Source organism: Homo sapiens, chromosome 7 (assembly GCF_000001405.40).
Source record: "Homo sapiens chromosome 7, GRCh38.p14 Primary Assembly".
NCBI lineage: Eukaryota > Metazoa > Chordata > Mammalia > Primates > Hominidae > Homo > Homo sapiens.
Window position 1 is genome coordinate 138,082,731 of NC_000007.14, and position 25,502 is coordinate 138,108,232.

The 25,502-nt window shown below is 40.0% G+C and overlaps 1 protein-coding gene and 1 pseudogene across 4 annotated transcripts in view; both read left to right on the forward strand.

The window, feature by feature from the left end:
• AKR1D1 (aldo-keto reductase family 1 member D1) overlaps positions 1-25,502 on the forward strand; it is a 41,847-nt gene that overhangs the window by 6,272 nt on the left and 10,073 nt on the right. For 2 of the 4 annotated variants that reach the window (NM_005989.4, NM_001190907.2), the window contains exons 2-7: positions 5,871-6,038; positions 9,038-9,154; positions 15,136-15,213; positions 22,577-22,699; positions 23,878-23,987; positions 24,685-24,850. In NM_005989.4, coding sequence (NP_005980.1) covers positions 5,871-6,038; positions 9,038-9,154; positions 15,136-15,213; positions 22,577-22,699; positions 23,878-23,987; positions 24,685-24,850 — 762 coding nt within the window. The remainder of the gene's footprint in view (positions 1-5,870; positions 6,039-9,037; positions 9,155-15,135; positions 15,214-22,576; positions 22,700-23,877; positions 23,988-24,684; positions 24,851-25,502) is intronic. The other 2 variants (NM_001190906.2, XM_047420763.1) reach the window with 2 other exon arrangements.
• On the forward strand, positions 8,524-8,585 carry RN7SKP223 (RN7SK pseudogene 223; annotated as a pseudogene).

Below are 25,502 nucleotides of genomic sequence, written 5' to 3' on the forward strand. Positions count from 1 at the left end.
CTTTTGACTAATAATTCCAATTTTTCATTGTGGTATTACTCTGTGACTGAATTATTTCACTTAGTATAATGTTCTCCAGGTTCATCCATGTTGTGTACTGCAGAATTTCCTTCTTTTTTGAGGCTGAATAATATTACATTGTCTATGTACCACATTTTCTTTACCTGCTCATCTGTCAGTGAACATTTAGGTTGTTTCCATATCTTAGCTATTGTGAATAATGCTACAGTGAACATGGAAGTGCAAATATTTCCTCAAGATAGTGATTTTATTTCCTTTGGATATATACCCTGAAGTAGGATTGCTGGATCATATGGTAGTTCTATTTTTAATTGTTTTTCTTGACCAACATGTTCTAATATATCTTTAATTTTTTTAGGAACCTCCATACTGTTTTCCACAGTAGCTGCACCATTTTACATTTTCACCAACAGTGTACAAGAGTTCTAATTTCTCTACATCCTCACCAATAATTGTTACCTTTCAGTTTTTTGATAATAGTCATCCTAATGGGTGTGAGGTGTTATTTCATTGTAGTTTTGATTTGCATTTCCCAGATGAATAGTGATATTGATATTTATATACCTATTGGCCATTTGTATGTCTTCTTTGGAGAAATGTCTACTCAAGTCCTTTGTCAACTTTTTAATCAGGTTAGGTTTTTCTTTGGGGTTTTTTGTTTTGTTTTGTTTTGTTTGTTTTTGCTTCTTTGCTATTGAGTTGTAGAAGTTCCTTTTAATTATATCTTGGATATTAACCCCTTGTGAGATATACGGTTTGCAAATATTTTCTTCTATTCCATAAGTTGCCTTTTAACTCTGTTGAGTGTTTCCTTTTCTGTGCAGAGGCTTTTTAGCTTGATGTAGTACCAACAACCTATTTTTGCTTTTGTTTCTTATGCTTTTGGTGTCATATCCAAGAAATCATCACCTATCCCAATGTCATGATGCTTTTTCCCTTATGTTTCCTTCTAGGAGCTTTACAGTTTCTGGTCTTAAAAATCTTTAATCCATTTTGAGTTGACTTTTTGTGTATGGTGTAAGATACAGGTCCAATTTCACTCTGATGACAGTTCCAATATTAGGATCTATGGTTCTGTTTAGGCTCTCAGTTGTTTCTACCAGTCTTCCTTTATGGAACTTTGTTTTCTGGGGTACCTGAATTCTTCAGCTGTGTGCAGGTTAATACTACTTTTAAAAAAGTATTTGTGAGCGAGCATCAAGGGTGAAAAACAAGTATTTTCTTTCAGACAACATTTGTGTGTGTTTGCTCCAGGTTCCCTGGAGGCATTGCTACCCAGTGACGATGTGAAACTGGTCAGCAGACTCCGGCTACATAGGTTATGAATTCTCCCAGGGACTGGAGGTGGCCATAGCCTGTTAGGGAGTTTTTTTACTTTCCTTTTTCATCTCCTACACCTCTCATTTCTGCATTCAGACTTTCCCATAAAATGTAGTTTGAATTAATAAATGCCTACTGTCTTTTCAGTACTTTTATGGTAATCTTTTCAAAAGTTTTAATCTAGCTTTTTTTTTTTTTTTTCTTTTTTTGAGACAGGGTCTTGCTCCAACACCCAGGCTGAAGCGCAGTGGCATGATTACGGCTCCCTGCAAATTCTGCCTCCCAGGCTCAAGCGAGTCACCAGACCCGGCTAATTTCTGTATTTTTTATAGAGATGGGGTTTTGCCATGTTGCCCAGGCTGTTCTCAAACTCCTGGGCTCAAGCGATCCTCCTACCTCAGCCTCCCAAAGCGCTGGGATTACAGGTGTGTGCCACTGCGCCAGCATAATCCAGCATTTTTAATTTTCTTAAGTAGAAGGAGATGCTGTCAGCCATTTTAGGAAACCAGATTTTTTGTTTTACTGTTCAGTGAGATTGTCTTTAATTGTGGAATCAAATTTTTATATTTTAGATTCTCCTATCATATCATTTATGTGGTATCCTATTTGATCTTTCCGATTTTTTTCAAAACTGGTTTTCCTAAAAAATGTGTCACAATTTATGTAGAATTTTTTTGTGCCACATTTAAGAATTACAAAGTGTGGGCCGGGTGCAGTGGCTCACGCCTGTAATCCCAACACTTTGGGAGGCTGAGGCGGGCAGATCACAAGGTCAAGAGATCGAGACCATCCTGGCCAACATGGTGAAACCCCGTCTCTACTGAAAATACAAAAATTAGCTGGGCTTGGTGGCACACACCTGCAGTCCCAGCTGCTCGGAAGGCTGAGGTAGGAGAATCGCTTGAACCCGGGAGGCAGAGGTAGCAGTGAGCTGAGATCATGCCACTGCACTCCAGCCTGGTGACAGAGTGAGACTCCGTCTCAAAAAAAAAAAAAAAAAAAAAAGAATTACAAAGTGTGGTCCTCATGTCCACAGTCCCAACTAGTTCCTCCATACTGATGAGAATTAAGTACAAAATAGTAATACATCTCACTGCTGCTTCTGCCTTCTGAGGGACAATATTTTTCAGCAAGTATATAAATATAAACATATAAATAAATAAGTAAATAGTAGATATCCAGTAAGTAAATATCCAGCTTTTAGAAGAGACTCCCTGGTGATAGCTGAATAATTGAAGATTTTCACTACTATAACTTGCTTCTGTGCCATAATCCTTATTAAATGAGTCATCATCCAAATATACAGCACCATGGTGGACTACACTCCTACCTTAGCCCTTGCCTTTGCCACTTTCTTTCTTTTTCTTTTCTTTCCTTTTTTTTTTTTTTTTGAGACAGAGTCTTGCTCTGTCACTCAGGCTGGAGTGCAGTGGCATGATCTCAGCTCACTGCAACCTCTGCCTCCCAGGTTCAAGAGATTCCCCTGCCTCAGCCTCCCAAGTAGCTGGGATTACAGGTGTCTACCACCACGCCTGGCTACATTTTGTATTTTTTAGTAGAAATGGGGTTTCACCATGTTGGCCAGGCTGGTCTTGAACTCCTGACCTCAGGTGATCTGCCCCGCCTGGGCCTCCGAAAGTGCTGGGATTACAGGTGTGAGCCACCATCCCCAGCTGTACTTTCTTTATCCTAAATGCTCTCCTCTGTACTTCATTTTTTGGGTTAATCTTCAAAAATACAAGCACCTACTTTAATACGCATTTGTCTGGGGCTCCCTTCATTGTGTACTTTAGCTCTTCATTTAAATGATCAGTTCCAGCCCATAAAATCTCAGTGATGTTTCTGAGATTCTATTTACCATCTAGTATTAAGCTTCATATATTAATAATATGTAGAGGGAGGCCAAGGCAGGAGGATCACTTGAGCCCAAGAGTTTGAGACCAGCATGGGCAACATGGCAAAACCCCATCTCTACAAAAATGTATGCCAGGCATGGTGGCACACGCCTGTAGTCCCACTTACTCGGGAGGCTGAGGTGGAAGAATCACTTGAATCTGGGAAGCCGAGGCTGCAGTGAGCCATAATCGTGCCATTGCACTCCAGCCTGGGTGACGGAGACCCTGTCTCTAATAATAATAATGATAATAATGTAGATACTTGAGAATGAAAGTAGATGTTTATTTTCTTCCCTGTAAATTTCTGGACACCACGCCTCACCTCCCCTTCCCACTGTACTTTGGTTGTCACACTTGTCATTCATAACATCTCATTTTACAGGCTTTTTTCTGGCCTTTTGACTCAATTACTGTCCAAGTCCTATTAATCATGTTGTTATTTAATTAACCAAACAAATATTTCTAATGTTGCTGAAATGTGTGTCTCCTTTTCCCAGCTATTTGATATTTGTGACTATGAATCTTATAATATCATCTATGTAGCCAGTTTGTTCATTTTTCGTATCCTCTTATCTTCTCTATAGTGATGACTTCCAACTGTAGCAGGGGGAAAAAATACAATATATGTCCCCAAGGCTTTCTATATCCTGCCCAGGACTATAAAATCACTAGAAATACATTTCAGATTTATTCTCTCGCTCAGCCTACAACAAATCAATAGGTGTGGACCAGAGTTCACATGTCTGATGTGATTTGTCCAGCATTTGGTTAGAACACTAAAGAAAGCACAAGTAGTTAACCAACATTTGTTGAGCAAGATCAGAACAATCACCCTTTGATATGAAGTCAGCACAAATCAGAAAATAGAATCAACCCTCTCACACACACACGCTCTAAAAGATGCTTTGAAAATTATATTTGATGAGACTAGATGTTTGTCTTCAGAGAAATCTCATTGCTGTTTCTCATTAAGAAAAAATGTAACTAAAAGAAACACATTCGTATATTTAAATGCCATCATAACTGAGGCATAGGGAATTATGTGGAATCTGAAAAATGGTGTCTTACTCTATTTTGTGCTGCTGTAACAGAATGCCTGAGACTGGATAACTGATAAAGAACAGAGGTTTATTCTCTTACAGTTCTGGAGGCCGCAAAGTCCAAGATCAAGATGCCGGCAGGTTAGGGCCCAGTCTCTCACTTCCAAGGGTGTACCTTGATTGCTGCATTCTCTGGAGAGGAGAAACACTATTACTCACATGACAGAAGAGGGAGCACCCACTCTCACAAGCCCTTTTTATGGTGACATTAATCCTAAACACCTCCCATTAGGCCCTACCTCCCAACACTGTTTGTCAAATTGGAGATTAGGTTTCAACATGAGTTTTGGAGGGGACAAAAATAATCAAACCATAGCAAATGAAAAATCAGTGTTCAGGGAACAGGATATGCTCATTCTTATGTTTAACGTGAGTTAATAAAATGAACAAACCTGTAGCTACCAAATGTTATTAAAATATATCCTAAAACATAAAATGTTCCTCAACAATATTTTTTCCTCAGTTTCATTGAGATATAACTGACATATAATAAACTGTCCATATTTAAAGTATACAATTTGAAGAGTATGACATATATACATCTGTGAGGCCATCACCACAATCAAAATAATGAACATATCTATCAACTCTATAAGCTTCCTCATGCCACTTTGTAATCCCTCCTTCCACCCATACTTCCCCCAACTCCTGACCCCAGGCAATCACTGATCTATGTCTGTCACCACAGACTATGATTCCATTTATATAAAATGCTAGAAGAGAAAAACTAAAGTATTTATTCTTTTTGGTCCGGCTTCTTTCACTCAGTATAATTATTTTGAGATTCATCCATACTATGTGTTGTCATCAATGCTACATTTCTTTTCTTTTTTTTTTTTTTTGAGACAGGGTCTGTCTATGTTGCCCAGTCTGGAGTACAGTGGCATGATCATGACTCACTGCAGCCTTCAACTCCCAGGCTCAAGCAATCCCCCTACCTTACCCTCCCAAGTAACTGGGACCACAGGCGCATGCCACCACATCCAGCTAATTACTTTACTTTTTGTACAGATGGGGTCTCCCTATGTTGCCCAGGCTGGTCTCAAACTCCTGGCCTCAAGCAATCCTCCTGCCTCAGCCTCCCAAAGTCCTGGGATTACAGGTGTGAGCCACCACACCAGGCCCACTTCATTCCTTTTTATTACTGAGGAGTATTCCATTCTGTGGATACATCTCAATTTGTTTACCCAACCTTTTGATTTATAATTTAGCCTTCTTCAATCAGCTTGTGCCCTCCTGTAAAAAGGCTTCCATGAATTCTCTTGTCACAGGAAATATTGATCAAATCACATTTTTGATGCCACGAAGCTGAGGGCAGACCTGGGACAGATGGTGTCTCCCACTGAGGGAGCGGAGGCCCCTGGGAGGTCAGTTTCTCCTGCTGCTGAACACCATCTTCCAATCACAACAGCAAGGAATTGGGAATGTGTCATTTTAGCTGTAAAGGAATGTACATGCAAAATGTCCTGATTAATGATTATTAAAGGAAAGACCATTTCTCTTTTCCCCAAACCCAACCTCTTTGTCACTTCAGACCCCTAAGGGAGCCTGTGCAACATCGGTGAAGGTTGCTATTGACACAGGGTACCGACATATTGATGGGGCCTACATCTACCAAAATGAACACGAAGTTGGGGAGGCCATCAGGGAGAAGATAGCAGAAGGAAAGGTGCGGAGGGAAGATATCTTCTACTGTGGAAAGGTGAGATCTTGCCTTCAGCCTCCACTGGGGACAGTGAGAAGGTTTCAGTTGTTCATTTTATTATTCATCTTCCGTGTGTGTGTGTGTGTAATTGCACTCATGAGTAGGCAGTACTTAATAACAGTTTGGGTTTGTTTGTTTGTTTGTTTGTTTGAAAGATAAGTGTTCAAATGAGACCAAAATCATGCAAAATAGGATTTTCAACATTCTTGTATCATATTAACGAATTATTTATTAGTTTGGGAGAAGTAAGCAGAGTAGCATTTAGGGGAGAGAAAGAGGGTTTTAAAAATGTATTTGGCTGGGTGCGGTGTCTCACGCCTCTAATCCGCACTTCGGGAGGCCGAGGCAGGTGTTTTGCTTGAGCTCAGGAGTTCAAGACCAACCTGGGTAACATGGCAAAACCTTGTCTCTACAAAAAAAAATACAAAAATTAGCCAGGCATGGTAACTTGCACCTGTAGTCCCAGATACTTGGGAGGCTGAGGCAGGAGGATGGCTTGAGCCAGGGAGGTCAAAGCTGCAATGAGTCATGTTCATATCACTGCACTCCAACCTGAGTGACACAGCGAGACCCTCTCTCAAAAAAAAAAAAGCATTTGAGCAAATGTAATTAACTCAGACATGGTATTCAGATTTTGTTTAATAAAAGCAAACAAACGTAAATTAAAAAAAAAAAAAAACAAGCTCATAAGGTCACCAATCCAAAAGCCAGCTATGTAGGCTTCCTGGGCAGGCACATTATGCAAGCCTTTTGCTTAATGACTCATATTATAGGAGTCATTTCTTACTATGATAGAGGCTAAAGTTAGCATACAAGGAAAAGGTGGTCAAAACATGCTTTAAATTGTCCTTTAACTTTAATCCTTTAAATTGTCCAAAAAGTACAGTTGTGAATAGAAAGCAATATTTATACGTATACAATGTCAATATGGGCTGTATGTAATAAAGCATACTTGGGCGAAATATTGGTGTTTACTTACGTAAACAGAAACAGTGTGTGCAGCTGAGTTCATGTAATGTGCCATTGCTATTGCCTCATCAGGACTGTCTTCACTGCAGCTCAGCAGCACCTGAGAGGCAATGTGGGGGTGATTAAGAGCCTAGACTGGTGCAAGGTTGCCCAGGTCAGAGGCCCAGATCTGTCACTATTGGCTGAGTTGCCTAGCATTTCTGGACCTCAATTTTTTTTCTCTGTAAAATGGGGATAATAATGTCAACTATTTCATAAAGTTGTTATGAGTTCACATTTACAAAGCACTCACACCGAACCTGGCACAAAGCTAATACTATGTATGTTTGTTGAATAAAAGTAAATTAAAATATCATCAGCCTATGCCCAGGAATGAAAAAGAAAGTAAAATAAATATCAAACAGAATTTCCACTTAGATGGGATTGCAATAGGAACACCAAAGAGACCCAGAGTAGCAATCAAAACACACGTAACACATTTTTCCACTACTCTCTTCATGTTAAATTTTCTCTGTGTTTTTAAGGCAAGAAAAAAATCATTGTCCAACAGAGGAAAAAATCAGATATTACCAATTTTGCTTACCCTTTCTTGTGACCAAAAAAAGTATGATTCAGGCCGGGTGCAGTGGCTCAAGCCTGTAATCCCAGCACTTTGGAAGGCAGAGGAGGAAGGATCACTTGAGGTCAGAAGTTCGAGACCAGACTGGCCAACATGGTGAAACCCCATCTCTACTAAAAATACAAAAATTAGCCAGGCGTGGTAGCAGGTGCCTGTAATCCCAGCTACTTGGGAGGCTGAGGCAGCAGAATCGCTTGAACCCGGGAGGCAGAGGTTGCACTAAGCCAAGATCAAGCCACTGCGCTCCAGCCTCAGCAACACAGCAAGACCCCGTCTCAAAAAAAAAAAAAAAAGAAAAAAGAAAAGTATGATTCTAAACTTATATCCCCCCAAAAAAATCTGTGAGCAAAACTGATATTCCAAAAGATGTACTAATTTGTCCTGTGGGTATAAGCAACCTTGGCACCGTATGTCTCAGACACTTAAGGGTACACATGCTCCAGTAGGATCAACCAAACCTTGATCCTTCATTATGTAATGCCTTAGCGAAAGAGTAATTTAATTGCTCTGGGGTCTAAGTAGGACCAAATAAGAACAAAAGATCAGTGAAAGCAAATCTAAATCTATGCACTAATTTAAAATTTCACCAGGCTTTCACACCACCTGTCACAATGTGAAGGACCCAGTGAAGCCACACGCATAACCATATTCCTTGCTCATTTTATCAGAGTGGCATGACAATAAAGTATCACGCTAGGTCAGGACATCTAGAACATTGTGTAACCCTAGTTATACAATGAGGAAAAATGCAAGCACTAAGCATCAGGAAATTCACCCGGAAATGGGGAAGACTGCCATCAAATTAGGTACTCTGTGGTCAAGGAGGATCTGTAAGTCTCTTGTGGTAGATTTGCATAAAATTATGTCTGGAGATGTGAGGGTGATCTGGCTGTAACATATGTCACCCCATTAGTCACCAGGGCTAATTCAGCTGATCTGGCTGTCTAGGCAATTGTACCTCTTGAAGCTGCACTCTCAGTGGAAGAGGACGGCTTTCCCTGATGAAGGAGGAGGGTTTTTAGGTCAAGTGTATGTGAGTAGCTGCACTCCCCTACTAGAACCTCCAAACAAGCTCTCAAGCTAGGCTCTGAGTGTCAAGAGTTTTATCAGCTCATCCTATACTCAGATGACACTGCATCATAAACATATTTTTGTGAAATGAAATGTGTGAATAAAATGTGTACAAGCGGCTAGGCACGGTGGCTGATGCTTATAATCCCAGCACTTTGGGAGGCTGAAGTGGGCAGATCGCTTGAGCCCAGGAGTTAAAGACCAGCCTGGGCAACATAGTGAGACCCCCCATCTCAAAAAAAAAAAATGTGTACGAGTGTTTTACAAAGAAAAAGGGGCTGCCTTATCGTAAAAAGCGTGTAGACATTAGTTAATTCTCCCTCTTTGATTCTTTCAGCTATGGGCTACAAATCATGTCCCAGAGATGGTCCGCCCAACCCTGGAGAGGACACTCAGGGTCCTCCAGCTAGATTATGTGGATCTTTACATCATTGAAGTACCCATGGCCTTTAAGGTGAGTTCAGATGCCCAAAGGTCAGGTCTCTGCACCCTGGCAACCATGAGCCAATAGCTATGTGCATGAAGCTCTGCACCATGAGCCAATAGCTATGTGCATGAAGCTCTGCACCATGAGCCAATAGCTATGTGCATGAAGCTCTGCACCATGAGCCAATAGCTATGTGCATGAAGCTAGCGTATTACTTGGCACCACAGAATATTGTGGTGTTTTGTTACCACAGATCAGAGAGTACTGACCTAGTCTGACAAATACCCGAGAAGATTATGTTAGCAGACTCAGGCTTGGTTTCCAAGTTTCTTGATTTTTTAATTCAATGCAATTTCTATTATACCATGTTTTTACAACTATAGTTTAAGCTCTCTGCATCAAACCAACATGTAGTCCTCTAACTGTAGCCCACCATTGAGACACACACCCTTCTTCCCACTCACACAGTCACAATCTCCGCCCTCATCCTCACTTTGTTAATGCTGACTCTTGTTCAAATGTCAGATTTCTAACCTAAGTCTTAAAAATTTAGAAAGACCCAGTGTACAATTATGTGTTGCTTAGCAATGGGATACATTCTGAGAAATGTGTCATGAGGTGACTTTGTTGTTCTGCAAACATCATATAGAGTGTACTTACACAAACCGAGGTGGTAAGGTTTTATTTACCATGGTAGACTGCATTACTTTTGTAATAACATGAATAAAACGCAAACACGTTGTGCCTAAATGGTATAGCCTATTACAGACTTAGGCTAGATAGCCCAGCCGATTGCTCCTAGGCTATAAACCTGCACAGCATGTTACTATTCTGAATACTGTAGACGATGGTAACACAATGGTAAATATTTGTGTATATAAACATAACATAGAAAAGGTACAGTAAAAATATGGCATAAAAGATAAGATACACCTATACCTGGCACTTACCATGAATGGAGCTTGCAGGATAAAAATTGGATGAGTCACGGAGTAAGTGGTGAGTGAATGTGAAGGCCTAGGTCATTACTGTACATGACTGGAGACTTTATAAACACTGCACACTTAGGGTACACAATGAATCACATAATATTTTTTCTTCAATAATAAATTAACATTAGCTTATTGTAACTGTTTTCAGCTTATAAATGTTTTAATTTTTTAACTTTTTGATTCTTTGTAATAATACTTAGTAGTAACACTAATACTAATTACTTTTTTTTTTTTTTTTGAGACAGAGTCTCGCTCTGTTGCCAGGCTGAAGTGCAGTGGTGCCATCTCGGCTCACTGCAACTTCCGCCTCCCGGGTTCAAGCGATTCTCCTGCCTCAGCCTCCCAAGTAGCCGGGACTACAGGCAAGCACCATCACACCCGGCTAAGTTTTGTATTTTTAGTAGAGACAGGGTTTCACCATGTTGGCCAGGATGGTCTCGATCTCCTGACCTCATGATCCGCCCACCTCGGCCTCCCAAAGTGTTGGGATTAATTACTTTTTTAATAACATGAATAAAACACAAACATGTTGTACAGCTGTATAAAAATATTCTTTCTTTGTATTCTTATTGTATAAGCTCTTGTCTATTAAATTTTTTTTTAAACTCTTTTGTTAAAAACTAAGACACAAGCACACACATTAGTCTAGGCCTACACAGGGTCAGCATCATCAATATCAGTGTCTTCCACGTCCACATCTCGTCCCACTGGAGGTTCTTCCGGAGCAATAACACGCATGGAGCTGCCATCTCCTGTGACAACAGTGTCTTCTTCTGGAATCCCTCCTGAAAGACCTGCCTGGCGTTTTTTTACACTTAACATTTTTTAAAAGTAGAAGGAGAACATTCTAAAATTATGATAAAGTGTAGTAGAACAAATATATAAGTTGTATCCATAGTAAAAACAGAAATTGTTTACTATCATTATCAAGTATTATATACTATACATGATTATGTGTGTTCTACTTTTATATACCTGGCAGCACAGTTGGTTTGTTTACACCAGCAACACCACAAACATGATGTCACTAGGTGATAGGAATTTTAAACTCTATTATAATCTTATGGGCCACCATCATACATGCAGTCCACCATTGACCAAAATGTCATTATGCAGCACATGACTCTACTTAAAAGTGAGAAAATAAAATTTACTTCTCTGTGACTAACTAATGACATTTACATCTTTTTGGACTTGATAGATAATTTCTATTCTTATTTTTGATGGGTTCAAAGGCACAAAAGGTAAAATTTTAACAGTGAGAAATGACACAATATAGTGACATTACCTTCCAACTGAACCTATAATTGGGAAATCAATATTTGAAGCTTAAGTACGACATGTTTTTTGGTGTTTGTTTGTTTGTTTGCTTAAGGTAGGGTCAGCCGGGGACAGTGGCTCACATCTGTAGTCCCAGTACTTTGGGAGGCTAAGGCTGGCAGATCACTTGAGTCCAGGAGTTTGAGACAAGCCTGGGCAACATGGCAAAACCCCATCTCTACAAAAAATACAAAAATTAGCCAGGCTTGGTGGCATGTGCCTGTGGTCTCAGCTACTTGGGAGACTAAGGTGGGAGGATCACTTGAGCTGGGGAGGTGGAGGGTGCAGTGAGCCAAGATTGCGCCACTGCACTCCAGCCTGGGTGACAGAGCAAGACCCTGTCTTGGAAAAAAAAAGAAAAAAGAGTGGGGGGGCAGTCTTGCTCTGTCACCCAGGCTGGACTGCAGTGGTGTGTGGCTCACTGTAGCCTTGAGATCCTAGGCTCAAGCAATCCTCCTGCCTCAGCCTCCCAAGTAGCTGAGACTACAGGTGTGTGCCACCACACTCACCTAATTTTTCAATTTTTCTTTTGTAGAGACAGGGTCTCGCTATGTTGACCATGCTGGTCTGGAACTCCTGGCCTCAAGCCATTCTCCCACTTCAGCCTCCCAAAGTGCTGGGATTACAGGCATGAGCCACCATACCTGACTTCACATGCTTTTTGAATCTTAAGTTTTTTTAAACAAAAAATCTTTTTTGCTAAAATATTTTTAGCACTTTATTATTTTTTAAGTGTCAAGCAGACAGAATTTTAGCCAACAAAATATTAAAAATTATGACATGTTTAAAAGATAAATGAACAAGAATGAGAGTCAATAGCATAGATTTTTAAAGGGTTGGGTTATTCTTCCAATAATACCTGACTGTGAGGAAGAGGAATGAAGGAAAGAGACAAAGAGGCTTATCGGGATGAAAGGATGAGTAAAATAGGCACAATGGAAGGTCAAGGGAAACACCTAGAGGTATCTAATGTGGGTTCAGGCTTGATAACCACCTGATTAGAATCTGGGAAAGTAAAAATCACGTAACAGAATTCATGATGGAGGCATAAGGCCATTCAGAAGGTAAGTAAAATTAGGAAACACAAGGTAAGAAATATGGAGCAGAAATGTGGGTCATAAGTGTTGAGAAATTCAAAGTGCTTAGAAATCAGAGACAGAATGGATAATTAACATGAATAATAATGTGGCATCAAGGAGAAAAGGGACTGTTCCCTGCTCTCAGGGAGATGGGAGGAAGTTGAAAAGACATTGTCTTTCCCTAAAGCAGACAATGGGGAAAATGTTTTCCATAAAGGAAAACTGAGTTTCACAAAGGTGAAATGCTAGAGGAAAAAATTAAAATTTTTGTTTTGTTTTGTTTTGTTTTGTTTTGAGATGGAGTCTTGCTCTTGTTGCCCAGACTGGAGTGCAGTGGCATGATCTCGGCTCACTGCAATCTCCGCCTCCCGGGTTCAAGCGATTCTCTTGCCTCAGCCTGCTGAGTAGCTGGGATTACAGGCGCCCGCCATCATGCCCGGCTAATTTTTGTATTTTTAGTAGAGACAGGGTTTTGCCATGTTGGCCAGGCTGGTCTCGAACTCCTGACCTCAGCTGATCGGCCCACCTTGGCCTCCCAAAATACTGGGATTATAGGTGTGAGCCACTGCGCCTGGCCAAATTAGGAACAAATTTAAGAGCATAATGGATTTTGTCCAATTGCTTGATTCCCTTCTCAGTCTGTTTTGTGCTGCTATAAAAGCATGCCTGAGGCCTGGTGCAGTGGCTCACACCTGTATTCCCAGCAATTTGGGAGGCCAAGGCAGGTGGATCACTTGAGCCTAGGAGTTCGAGACCAGCCTGGACAGCATGGTGAAACCTGGTCTCTACAAAAAAAATACAAAAAAATTAGCTAGGTGTGGTGGTGCACACCTGTAGTCCCAGCTGCTCAGGAGGTTGAGATGGGAGGATCACCTGAGCCTGGGGACATCGAGGCTACAGTGAGCCATAATCATGCCACCGCACTCCAGCCTGGACAGCAGAGTAAGACCTTGTCTCAAAAACAAACAAACAACAACAACGGAAAAAGAATGCTATCATTCAGAAACATTTCCTTTAAAAGAAAAAAAAAAGAATGCCTGACACTGGGTAATAGATAATAAACAGAAATGTATTGGCTCAAAGTTCTAGAAGCTGGAGAGTTCAAGACCAAAGTACCAGCACCTCACTAGAGCCTTCTTGCTATGTCATCACATGCTGGAACGAGGAAGGGCAAAGAGCACAAGAAAGCACCCCTCCTCGTCTGAGCCCTTTTTACAATGGCATTAATCCACGACTGAACAACTCCCATTAGGCCCCACCTCCCAACACAGTTGCACTGGGGATTAAGTTTCCAACACATGAATTAGGGGGGACACATTTAAACCACAGCAATTCCCAATAAGAAAATCCCTATTACCAAAGTCAACAAAGACTTTCATCCTGCCAAATTCAATAGACATTTTGTCTTCCTATTATTTGATCTCTTTCAATACAGTTGACTACCACCTTCTTCTGTAAACATTTTCTTCTCATGGTGTTCGTGACATCTCATGACCCTCTCATGGTCTTTGGCAGCTTCTTCTCTGCCAGCTTCCAAATGTTGTTATGCCCAGTCCTCTACCCTCAATATTCTTGTCTTACTAGCTACACTCTCTCTATAGGTGACTTAATCCAATCATGTGGATTTAATACCATTTTACATGCTAATGACTCCAAATTTTATCTGTAGCCATGACCTCTCTCTGAGCTCTTGACTTCTCTGTTCAACTGCCTCCCTCAATATCCACTTGAATGTCTAGTGACCATTTCAAAGTCAAAATATCCAAAATGATATTCTGGATTCCTAGCCCCAACCTCAAGAAATGGTTACCACCAACCACCCAAGGCATCTGGGATCATCTTTGATTTCTCCCTCTCCCTCATTCCCACCACCCCACCTCATTTCCAAGCCAACATTAAGGCATGCTGGCTCTACTACTCATTCATGTGCTAATCTGTTCCCTTCTTTTCCTCTCTACTGCAGTTGCCCCAGTCCCAGACACCATCAGCTCTCCCCTATTGCATACAGCCCGTTAGGTTGATTTCCCCAGAAGCAGACCCTGAGATGAAGAGAATGCATACAAGAGTGATTTATTTCGAAGTACTGTTAAGGGAGTGGGGAAATGTGGCTGAAAAATAAGAGGTTAAGCAGATGTGAGGTAGAAATCAGAGTCCTACAGAGAGCAACTTAGGCTAAATGTCACAGAAAGCTCTGGAGACAAAGTTGTTCACATCTCAGAATTACACAGTCACAAGGCAAAGAAACAAATATTGATACTTGTAACTTTAGTTCAAAGGCTGTCCCAGCAGGGGGAGCAGGGTGTAAATTCCTGGGCACATCTAATTGAGTAGATACACAAGTCCCAGTAGCCTGAGGTCTGTCCTCTAACAGATGCAGGTGTCAGCTGTACAGAGTGAGAGGACAGTGCACACAAGACAGGTACTGGCATCCCAGGAAGCATGGGCAGGTGTCTTAATCCAGCTGGGCCGCTATGACAAAATACTTTAGACTGGGTGATTTAGAAACAATAGACATTGATTGCTCACAATTATGAAGACTGGGAAGTCTAAATTCTATTATTTAATTCCCAGATATAAATAAAATGAATTACATTTATTCTTTTTTTTTTTTTTTCAGCCAGGAGATGAAATATACCCTAGAGATGAGAATGGCAAATGGTTATATCACAAGTCAAATCTGTGTGCCACTTGGGAGGTAAGTTCAAATGTGCTTCTTATTTTAAAAGACGATATTTTTAAAACTGTGATCTGATTATTCCTGTCATATTTATGGAGAGAGATGCACCCTTTACTTTCAATGAAAAGTAACAGTCAGAACAGGCATTCCTAACCATAAGTACAGGTATATGAAATCTCCACTTCTGGGTACTAAATAATTCTTACTTTTGTTTTGCTGGAATGCCAAAGAAAAGAGAGAGGGGTGGAAGGAAAAACAGTGTAAACAAAATATGTTCTAATATAAAAGTAATTAAAATATATGAATAAGATAAATTCACAAATCAAAAAATATATATCAAGTTGTTAATATGATGCCTACAAGAAACAAACTTAAAATGATACATAAAAAAACTGAAAAACAGGCCAGTCGCAGTGGCTCACACTTGTAATCCCAGCACTTTGGAAGGCCAAGGTGGGCGGATCATCTGAGGTCAGGAGTTCGAAACCAGCCTGGCCAATGTGGTGAAACTCTGTCTCTACTAAAAATAAAAAAATTAGCCAGGCGTGGTGGTGGGCGCCTATAATCCCGGCTACTCAGGAGGCTGAGGCAGGAGAATTGCTTGAACCTGGGAGGCAGAGGTTGCAGTGAGCCGAGATCATGCCACTGCACTCCAGCCTGGGCGACAGAGCAAGATGCCGTCTCAAAAACAGGAACAACAACAAAAACCTGAAAAGCAATTCTGTTTTTTATTTCTGGGAAAGCTGCTGGCTCTTTTCCCAAGATCACAAGAGTAGACAACTATAGGAAAATAATAAATAAACCCTTATGGATTCGTGGTGGGGAGGGATATTTTGAACTTGTTTGCTTAGAGGTGGTGTGGCAGCTCCGACCTAGAGTAGAAGTCAACCCAACAAGCAGGAAGAAGATAATACAGGAGAGGATCGGTTGGTCCTTTTGCACTTCCTTCACCCCTGCCATAGCCTGGGAACAAATGTTGCCGCACAGGTGGAAACTCAGGACTCAGTTGTAGAGCAGCCTTGAGATTCTGAACTTGTGAAAAACTGAGGAAAAACATAAGTTACCCACTGACCTCTGGCAGTTTTTTTTTCCCACCGATGTGATTCCAAACTCCAAAAGTTTGGAAATTACACTCTGGTAAGTACCTCTTTCTATATACTTGCCTGTGAGGCAACAGCTGAAGGTCTGAGCTGTGGAGTTGTTTCGAGGGGCGAGGAGGAATGATTTATTTCCCAGTGCCCGGGGCTCTGTCCAAAAGAACACGCAGTCACTCCCGACCTCATTGGAGGGAATCAGGTTTGGACAGTTGGACATTTTGAACATTCTGTTCTAAGGGACTGCCTAACAGGATAGCCAGTATCCCCAGGAAAAAATGATTTCACAGCCCAAAGTAATAAGGCATTTGTTTCACAAGAAGACAATACATCTCAATTACTGATCCAATGTAAACAGAACAGAGAACCAGGAACTTCTAAATTAACCAATTAATATATTAGAGAACATAAGAAAAGATATTAGCAATATAAAACGTGAACAAACAACATTTTAAAAAACAAGCTAAAATAAAAATTAAAAAATAAAAACACAATGCAATTGGTTGGGATAAATAGAAGAAAATGGTCAAATTGAGATATCAGAATGAGGAAATCTCTCAATATGAAGAAGAAAAGGACAAGAATTTTTTAAAATATGAAAGAAAAGCTAAGAAATTCAAAGAATAAAATTAGAAATTCCAATATCCACACAACTGGACTCTAAGAAAAAAGAAAGAAGAAAAAATAAAAGGAAACAAGAAGGTGGGCATAGTGGCTCATGCCTGTAATCCCAATGCTTTGGGAGGCTGAGGCTGGAGGATCACTTGAGCACAGGAGTTCAAGACCATCCTGGGAAACATAGTGAGACACCCATCTCTACAAAAAAGAAAAAAAAAGGGGGGTAATAGTTAAAGAAAAAAAAAAACACGAAGATCTTAAAGGGACCATGGAGCACAAAAGAGGAAAGATGAGGAATATCACGGGTGAGGTGACCTGTAGTCCCAGCTACTTGGAATTCTGAGGTGGGAGGACCACTTGAGGCCAAGAGTTCAAGGCCACAGTGTGCTATAGTCATGCCTTTGAACAGCCACTGAACTCTAACCTGGGCAATATAGCGAGATTTCATCTCAAAAAAAAAAAAAAAAAAAAAAAAAAAAAACATAAAGAGAAAATGTTAAAACTTCCAGAGCATAATAAATAATCCAATAAAGAAGGCAAAATGGAATAACAAAAATAATCAATCCAAGACAAAGCAGAAAAAAAAAGAAAAGGGGCAATAAACAGATGAGAAAAGTAGCAAATAAAGGGCAAGATGGGAGATTTAAACTCACTAATATCAATAATTGCAGTATATATAAATGGTCTAAGCACCCCAATTAAAAGGCATAGATTATCAGAATGGATATAAACCAAGTCCCACTATACATTATACACAAGAAATCCATCTTAAATAAAAAGTCACCAACAGGTTAAAAGCAAAAGTCTTTCAAAAAGCAAAAGGATAGAAAAAGATATATTAGGCTAACACTAGTAAAAATAAAGCTGCAGTCGCTATTTTAATATCAACAAATACTTCAGAGCAATGAGTATTACATGGGATAAAGAAGATTATTATATAATGATAAAGGAGTCAATCCTAAACATCTATGCCCCTAATAACAGAGCTTCAAAATACATGAAGCATCATCTAAGAGAACCGAACAGAGAAAGAGAAAAATCCACATTTATAGTCAGAGATTCTTTTTTTTTTTTTTTTTTTTTTTGAGGCGGAGTCTCGCTCTGCCGCCCAGGCTGGAGTGCAGTGGCGCGATCTCAGCTCACTGCAAGCTCCACCTCCCAGGTTCACGCCATTCTCTTGCCTCAGCCTCCCGAGTAGCTGGGACTATAGGTGCCCGCCACCACGCCTGGCTAATTTTTTGTACTTTTAGTAGAGACGGGGTTTCACTGTGTTAGCCAGGATGGTCTTGATCTCCTGACCTTGTGATCCACCCTCCTCCGCCTCTCAAAGTGCTGAGATTATAGGCATGAGCCAACGCGCCCGGCCTATAGTCAGAGATTCTATTAAAATGATATCATACTAAAATGATAAGTATACAGAAAGAGCTATAGGATATAGGAGATTTAAACATTATCAACCTTCTTAACCTGACATTTATAGAACACTTCACCAAAATATAAGAGTGTTTTCTTTCCCTCCCTCCCTCCCTCCCTCCCTCCCTCCCTCCCTCCCTCCCTTCCTTCCTTCCTTCCTTCCTTCCTTCCACGAGTCTCGCTCTGTAGCCCAGGCTGGAGTGCAGTGGCGCAATCTCAGCTCACTGCAACCTCCGCCTCTCGGGTTCAATCGATTCTCCTGCCTCAGCCTCCTGAGTAGCTGGGATTAGAGGCTCACGCCACCATGCCCAGCTAATTTTTGTATTTTTAGTAGACATGGGGTTTCACCATGTTGGTCAGGCTGGTCTCGAACTCCTGACCTCGTGATCAACATGCCTTGGCCTTTCAAAGTGCTGGGATTACAGATGTGAGCCACCGCGCCCGGCAACATAGGCCATTTTTCGAGCCATAACATAAATCTCAATAATTCTTCAAGTATTTTAATTATGCAAGGTATGTTGTCTGATCAAACAGGAGGCACACATGTAAATAACCCATAAGACCTAAAAAAATTAAAATCTTTATCTAGATGTAATTTATATATTAGCAACACACAATTGGAAATTATTTTTAAAAACAATGCTAAACATTAAATATTTAAAGATAAATCTAAAAGAATCTGTGCAAGAGCTATACAGTAAAAACAACTTATTACTGAAAGAAATAAAAGATGATCCAAAATTCAATGGAGAGATATACCATGTTCCTTGATCAGAATATCAAGATGTTAATTTTCCCCAAATTCATCTGTAGATTCAATGTAATCCCAGTCAAAATCCCAATAGAAATGGAAAACCTACTTCTAAAATTTATATGGGGCCTGGAGCAGTGGATTATGCCTATAAATCCCAGCACTTTGGGAGGCCATGGCAGGTGGATCACATGAGGCCAGGAGTTCGAGACCAGCCTGGGCAACATGGCAAAACCCTGTCTCTACTAAAAACACAAAAATTAGCCAGGCATAGTGGCGCCCATCTATAATCCCAGCTACTTGAAAGGCTGCAGCATGAGAATCACTTGAACCTGAGAGGCGGAGGTTGCAGTGAGCCGAGATCCCACCACTGCACTCCAGCCTGGGTGACAGAGTGAGATTCTGTCTCAAAAAAATAAAATAAAATTTATATGGAAGTACAAATAACCTATAATAGCCACAACAACTTTTTGAAAAAGAGCAATAGCCAAGCACAGTGGCTCATACCTATAACCCAGCACTTTGAGAGGCTGAGTGGGGAGAATTACTTGAGCCTAGGAGTTCAAGACCAGCATGGGGAACACTGAGACCCCGTCTCTACAAAAACATCAAACAATTAGTCGTGCATGGGAGTTGCATGTGCCTGTGGTCCCAGCTACTCAGGAGGCTGAGGTAGGAGGATCACTTGACCTGGTAGGTTGAGGCTGCAGTGAGCTATACCACTGCAACCCAGCCTCAGTGACAGAGCAAGACTCCATCTCAAAAATAAAAAGCAATAAGTTTGGAGGGCTTATACTAATTTCAAGAATTATTATACAACTATTAGAATCATGACAGTGCCATATTAGCATAAAGAGGAACATATAGATCAATAAAACATAATAGAGAATGTTAAAATAGACCCATACACATATATGGTCAGTTGATTTTCAACAGAAATGCCAACGCAATTCAATGGGGAAGGGTAATCTTGTACTACAACTGGCCCATACCAGCTTGCAAGAACCCGTTGTGCAAACCTCTTCCTAACTCCACATTCAGTGATGTCGGGTTGTTAGCTTGAATAGCCCGGTGTGAATAGTTACATCACAGACATTCTCAAATACTACAAACTGGGGAGCTTTTTTCTTCCTGGATAGCTGGTTGTTAAACATTTATCAGTATTCCACTGGAGGTGTTCATGATCTTGATTGTAATGATGATTTTACAGGTGTATGCACACATTAAAATTCCTCAAAATGTACACTTCAAAAATGTGTAGTTTATTGTACATCAGTTATAACTCACCAAACTAGAAGGCAAAAATAATGCATGATAAAAAGTTGCACATCTACACATGCTCAGAAATTTTGCCACATAAAGACTCACACTGGAAATCATTAGGTCCGATTGATGTACTAAGTGAAAGGAACAAAAATCTAACAGATGCTCCAAAAAAAATGCATAAAGCAAAAGTGATCAAATTAAACTTAAAGTGTGTATTATCTATAAAAATATTAAGATCAAATAATAAAAGGAAAATGAACCCATAATACGCTACAATTAAAGTTTATATATATACTATTAGCATCACAGATGTTGAGGGTAGATAAATACCGTGTGAACATGCTAAGTTATTGTCTTTATTAGAAAACTTCTTAAAAGTAATAAAGAGTTAAGAAGAAACAGGATAAGTGGGATAAATTGAAATAAATCAAGATGGTAGAAACAGTTCAAATATATGTATGGTTGCAATAAATGTAGATAAAATAAACTCACCTAGACAGAGATTGACAATTTAAAAGGAGGCACCTAAGCAAAAAGACATGTGAAAGTTAAAACTTTACAGGTAAAAAAAAACACACACTCACCAAATACCGGAAAAAGTTGGTATTACTATATTAATATCATATAACACAGACTTAAAAATTAAAAGCATTATTAGGGATAAAAAGAGTTGTGCGTGAAGATGAAAGATTGAATTTACCAAAAAGATATACTAATTTTAAGCACATATATATCAAATAAAGTATCTTCAAAATATATAAAACAAAAAATTGACAGAATACAGGAGGACATTGGCTCATGCCTATAATCCCAGCACTTTGGGAGGCCAAGGTAGGAGGATCACTTGAGGCCAGGAGTTTGAAATCAACCTGGGCAACATAATGAGACCCCCCTCATCTCCAAAAAATATTTTAAAAACAAAATTTAGCCAGTGTGGTTGCAGATGCTTGTAGTCCAGCTACTCAAGAGGCTAAAGAGGGAGGATCTCTTGAGCCCAGAAGTCAAGGCTGCAGTGAGCAAAGATCCCACCACAGCACTCCAGCCTGGGTGACAGAGCAAGATACTGTTTCAAAAAAAAACACAGAAGAACATTAATAAATCACCAGTATAGTAAGAGATTTTTGACATATTCCTTTCAGTTTTTGACATATTCCTTCTGTTAATTTTGACATATTAATTTCAGTTACTGAGAAGCCAAGAAGAGCTAGACCTAATTTTATATATAACATGTGTGTATGTATATTTACATACATATATGTATGAGAGAGAGAGGAGAGACAGAGTGTTACATCCAAAAATGGGAGAATGTATCTATTTCACATATACCAGAATGTTTATAAAAATTGCCAGCCAGGCGCAGTGGCTCATGCCTATAATACCAGCACTTTGGGACACTGAGGCAGGTGGATCACCTGAGGTCAGGAGTTCGAGACCAGCCTAACCAACATGGTGAAACTCCATCTCTACTAAAAATATAAAACTAGCCGGGCGTGGTGGTGCATGCCTGTAATCCCAGCTACTTGGGAGGCTTGAACCTGCGAGACAGAGTTTGCAGTGAGCCGAGATCGTGCCATCGCACTCTAGCCTGGGCAACAAGAGCAAAACTCCATCTCGGAAAAAAAAAAAAAAAAGTGCCCAGGTACTATGCCATAAAAAAAGTACCCAAAAATTTCAAGAAGTAGGATCATTTTAAAAAATTGTTTTTAATTGAGATAGGGTCTCACTCTGTTGCTCAGGCTGGAGTGCAGTGACACAGTTATAACTCACTGCAGCCTCAATTTCCCCAGCTCAAGTGGATCCTCCTACTTCAGCCTCCTAAGTAACTGGGACTACAGGCATGCACCACCATGCCTAGTTAATTCTTGATTTTTATTAGAGATGAAGTCTCACTCTGTTGCCCAGGCTGGTCTTGAACTCCTGACCTCAAGTGATCCTCCTGCCTTGGCCTGCCAAAGTGCTGGGATTACAGGTGTGAGCCATCGCGCCCTACCTGGGATCACTAAAGTGTGGTAAATACCTTGAGAAAATACAAGGGGAAGATATGGCATACACATGTTTTCCAAATTCAATCATAGAATTACTGCCTTTTCCCACCATCCTTCTTTTACTTTTTTTCGCAAGATGCTTATTAACATACCCAGGAACTTTCCTTTTTAAAGAATTCACAGTCACCCTTATAAACATTCATTCTTGCTTCTTGTGAGGCTTGTTTGTTGACCTGTGGACATTTACTCTACAGGCGATGGAAGCTTGCAAAGACGCTGGCTTGGTGAAATCCCTGGGAGTGTCCAATTTTAACCGCAGGCAGCTGGAGCTCATCCTGAACAAGCCAGGACTCAAACACAAGCCAGTCAGCAACCAGGTACAGCCTAATAGCTTCCACTAGGGTGTGGGGAGTGGGGGCAGGATTTACATGACACAAAGAAGCCTCAGCTGGGAGTCAGGAAGGCTCATGATTGCTCCACCTAAATCTCATCATGGGACCCTGTGCAAGTCTTTAGACTTCTTTCTATTGGTGTCACTTTAAAAAACGGACTTGGGGCCTGGTGCGGTGGCTCACGCCTGTAATCCCAGCACTTTGGGAGGCCGAGGCAGGCGATCACGAGGTCGGGAGTTTGAGACCAGCCTGACCAACATGGTGAAACCCCGTCTGTACTAAAAATACAAAAATTAGCTGGGCTTGGTGGCACATGCCTGTAATCCTAGCTACTCAGGGCTGAGGCAGGGGAATTGCTTAAACCCGGGAGGTGGAGGTTGCAGTGAGCCGAGATTGCGCCACTGCACTCCAGCCTGGGCGACAGAGTGTGACTTCGTCTAACAACAACAACAACAACAAAAAAAAATCTAATGAAAATCAATGAAAAAAAATGAGAAAAAACACTAAGGCTCAACAGAAAAAGGAGTAAAAGGAATGAACAGAAATTCACGAAAGACAAATTGCAAGACTGGTACACATGAAAAAAAACTCACTATTAATTAGAGAAACTTAAATTGAAGTGTGATTTTTCTATTGCACATCAAATTAGCAAAGTTTTTGTCTTATTAATATTTTTAAATATAATGCCCCCGTGTAGGCAAGTGATTAAATGCTAGTGAGTGCAAATTGGTTCAGCCTTACTAAAAAAACAATTTGTCAATATGTATCAAGGGCCTTAAAAAATGTTCACAGTCCTTTATTTCTGCAATCTATGCTAATAAAAAAATATCAGAATGCCTAGATAGACTGATGTGTGTTTACTACAACATTGTTCATAATGGAAAAAAATGGAAACAACATAATACAAAAAATTAAGGGGATGATTAAATAAGTTACAAGACATTCATATTATGTGAAATCTTAACAAAAGATGTTCTTGAATCCATTTTAAGGAAGCAAAATGAACAAGATATGAAGGGACAGACTAGGACACGAAATGTATATAGTATGAAGGAGATTCTATTAATAAAATGGATTTTATTGAAGAATTTTTTTTAACAGTACAATTGCATTCAACAACGTGGCCTTGATTTTGTGCTCTGCTCTCCAATGCAACCACATAGGTTGAGTGCCATCCGTATTTCACCCAGCCAAAACTCTTGAAATTTTGCCAACAACATGACATTGTCATTACTGCATATAGCCCTTTGGGGACCAGTAGGAATCCAATCTGGTAAGTAAAACTTTAGGAAGCATTTCCTTTGGTGTAGAGTGTGAGGCTCATGTGAACTACTGTATTTGATTGGAATGCCTTTTGGTTTGCCTGTGCAACCTCTTCAAGTCATTATCTGTATATATGAATTAGAACTTTTCATACTTTCCTGACTGAGCTGTTGTAAAATTGATTACATTATAGGTATGAAATTGCCTATCAGTGCCTGATATATAGGAATGCTCAGTAAAAGTTAGTTTAATTATTATTTGACAAAGGAGTTTCTATGGCCATGTTTTGCAAATTTTCAATCTTTTGATCTCTGTATTCAATAGTGATACTTCTACTATGATGTGCTCCATAAACTTAAGTAGAAATTTTTCTACTTTAAGATGATTCCAAAAGTTGTGTCTCTATTTCTTCCACTTCAGTCTTCCTACCTTTCCCTGTATGCCAGCTCTCTCTATAAGACTCATCAAAAAATATTATTTACCCTCTGAAGGAGGCAGCTCCATAAACTTGCCTTGCTTGATCTTCCCATACTACGAGTAACTCTCCATTCAGTGCATACTCTGCACTCAGAGAAACTGGTTACAGGTGACCTGCAGTGTCCTGGTAGGTGACTGGGTGAATGGGAAGACAGAGGAGGAGGATGGTTTATTAACCTTTGGTTCTCATTATGCAAACTAATTATGATGCATGTTTTGATATTTTTAAGGGTGAATGTTTCTTCTCCACCTTTGTTAAAGGATGCACTTCTAAACTCATTGGGGAAAAGGTACAATAAGACAGCAGCTCAAATTGTTTTGCGTTTCAACATCCAGCGAGGGGTGGTTGTCATTCCTAAAAGCTTTAATCTTGAAAGGATCAAAGAAAATTTTCAGGTAAGAGAATTGCTTTTGGAGATGTGAAAAGATGGGTATGTTTGCTATTTTTGCTTTTATAGAATGTGTTCAGCTTAATAGGAAACCTGTAACACTCTCATATTTTATTTTATACCAGCCCCTTGACCCATGTAGCCCATATCTAGGTTTAATTTTCATTCAATTTGAGACAATTGCTAGTACTTCAGAGATTGCTTTGCTACTTGTACACTATCCAGATCTCTTATATTTTCTCTTTCCTTATCTACTTTTTATTTTTTGTTTTAAATTTTTTTTTTGTTTGTTTAGAGATAGGGTCTTGCTATATTGCCCAGGCTAGTCTGGAACTCCTGTCTTCAAGCGATCCTTCCACCTTGACCTCCCAAAGTTCTGGGATTACAGGCGTGAGCCACTGTACCCAGCCTCTTCCCTTATCTATTGACCCTTGACACTACCTACTCACTTCTCTACCAGCACAACAGAAATTGAGTGAATAAAATTTGGAATTCATAATAGTCAACTTTCCACCTTCTTAATGGCTCTGGTAAAAGTTGAGGACAAATTTGAAAATTATTGAAGAGGACCATTTAGACTTCATGAATGCTAATTGCCTTTACTTCCCTCTATAAGTAATCTATGACTTACGTTGTAACTTCCAAGTGAAGAAAGAACT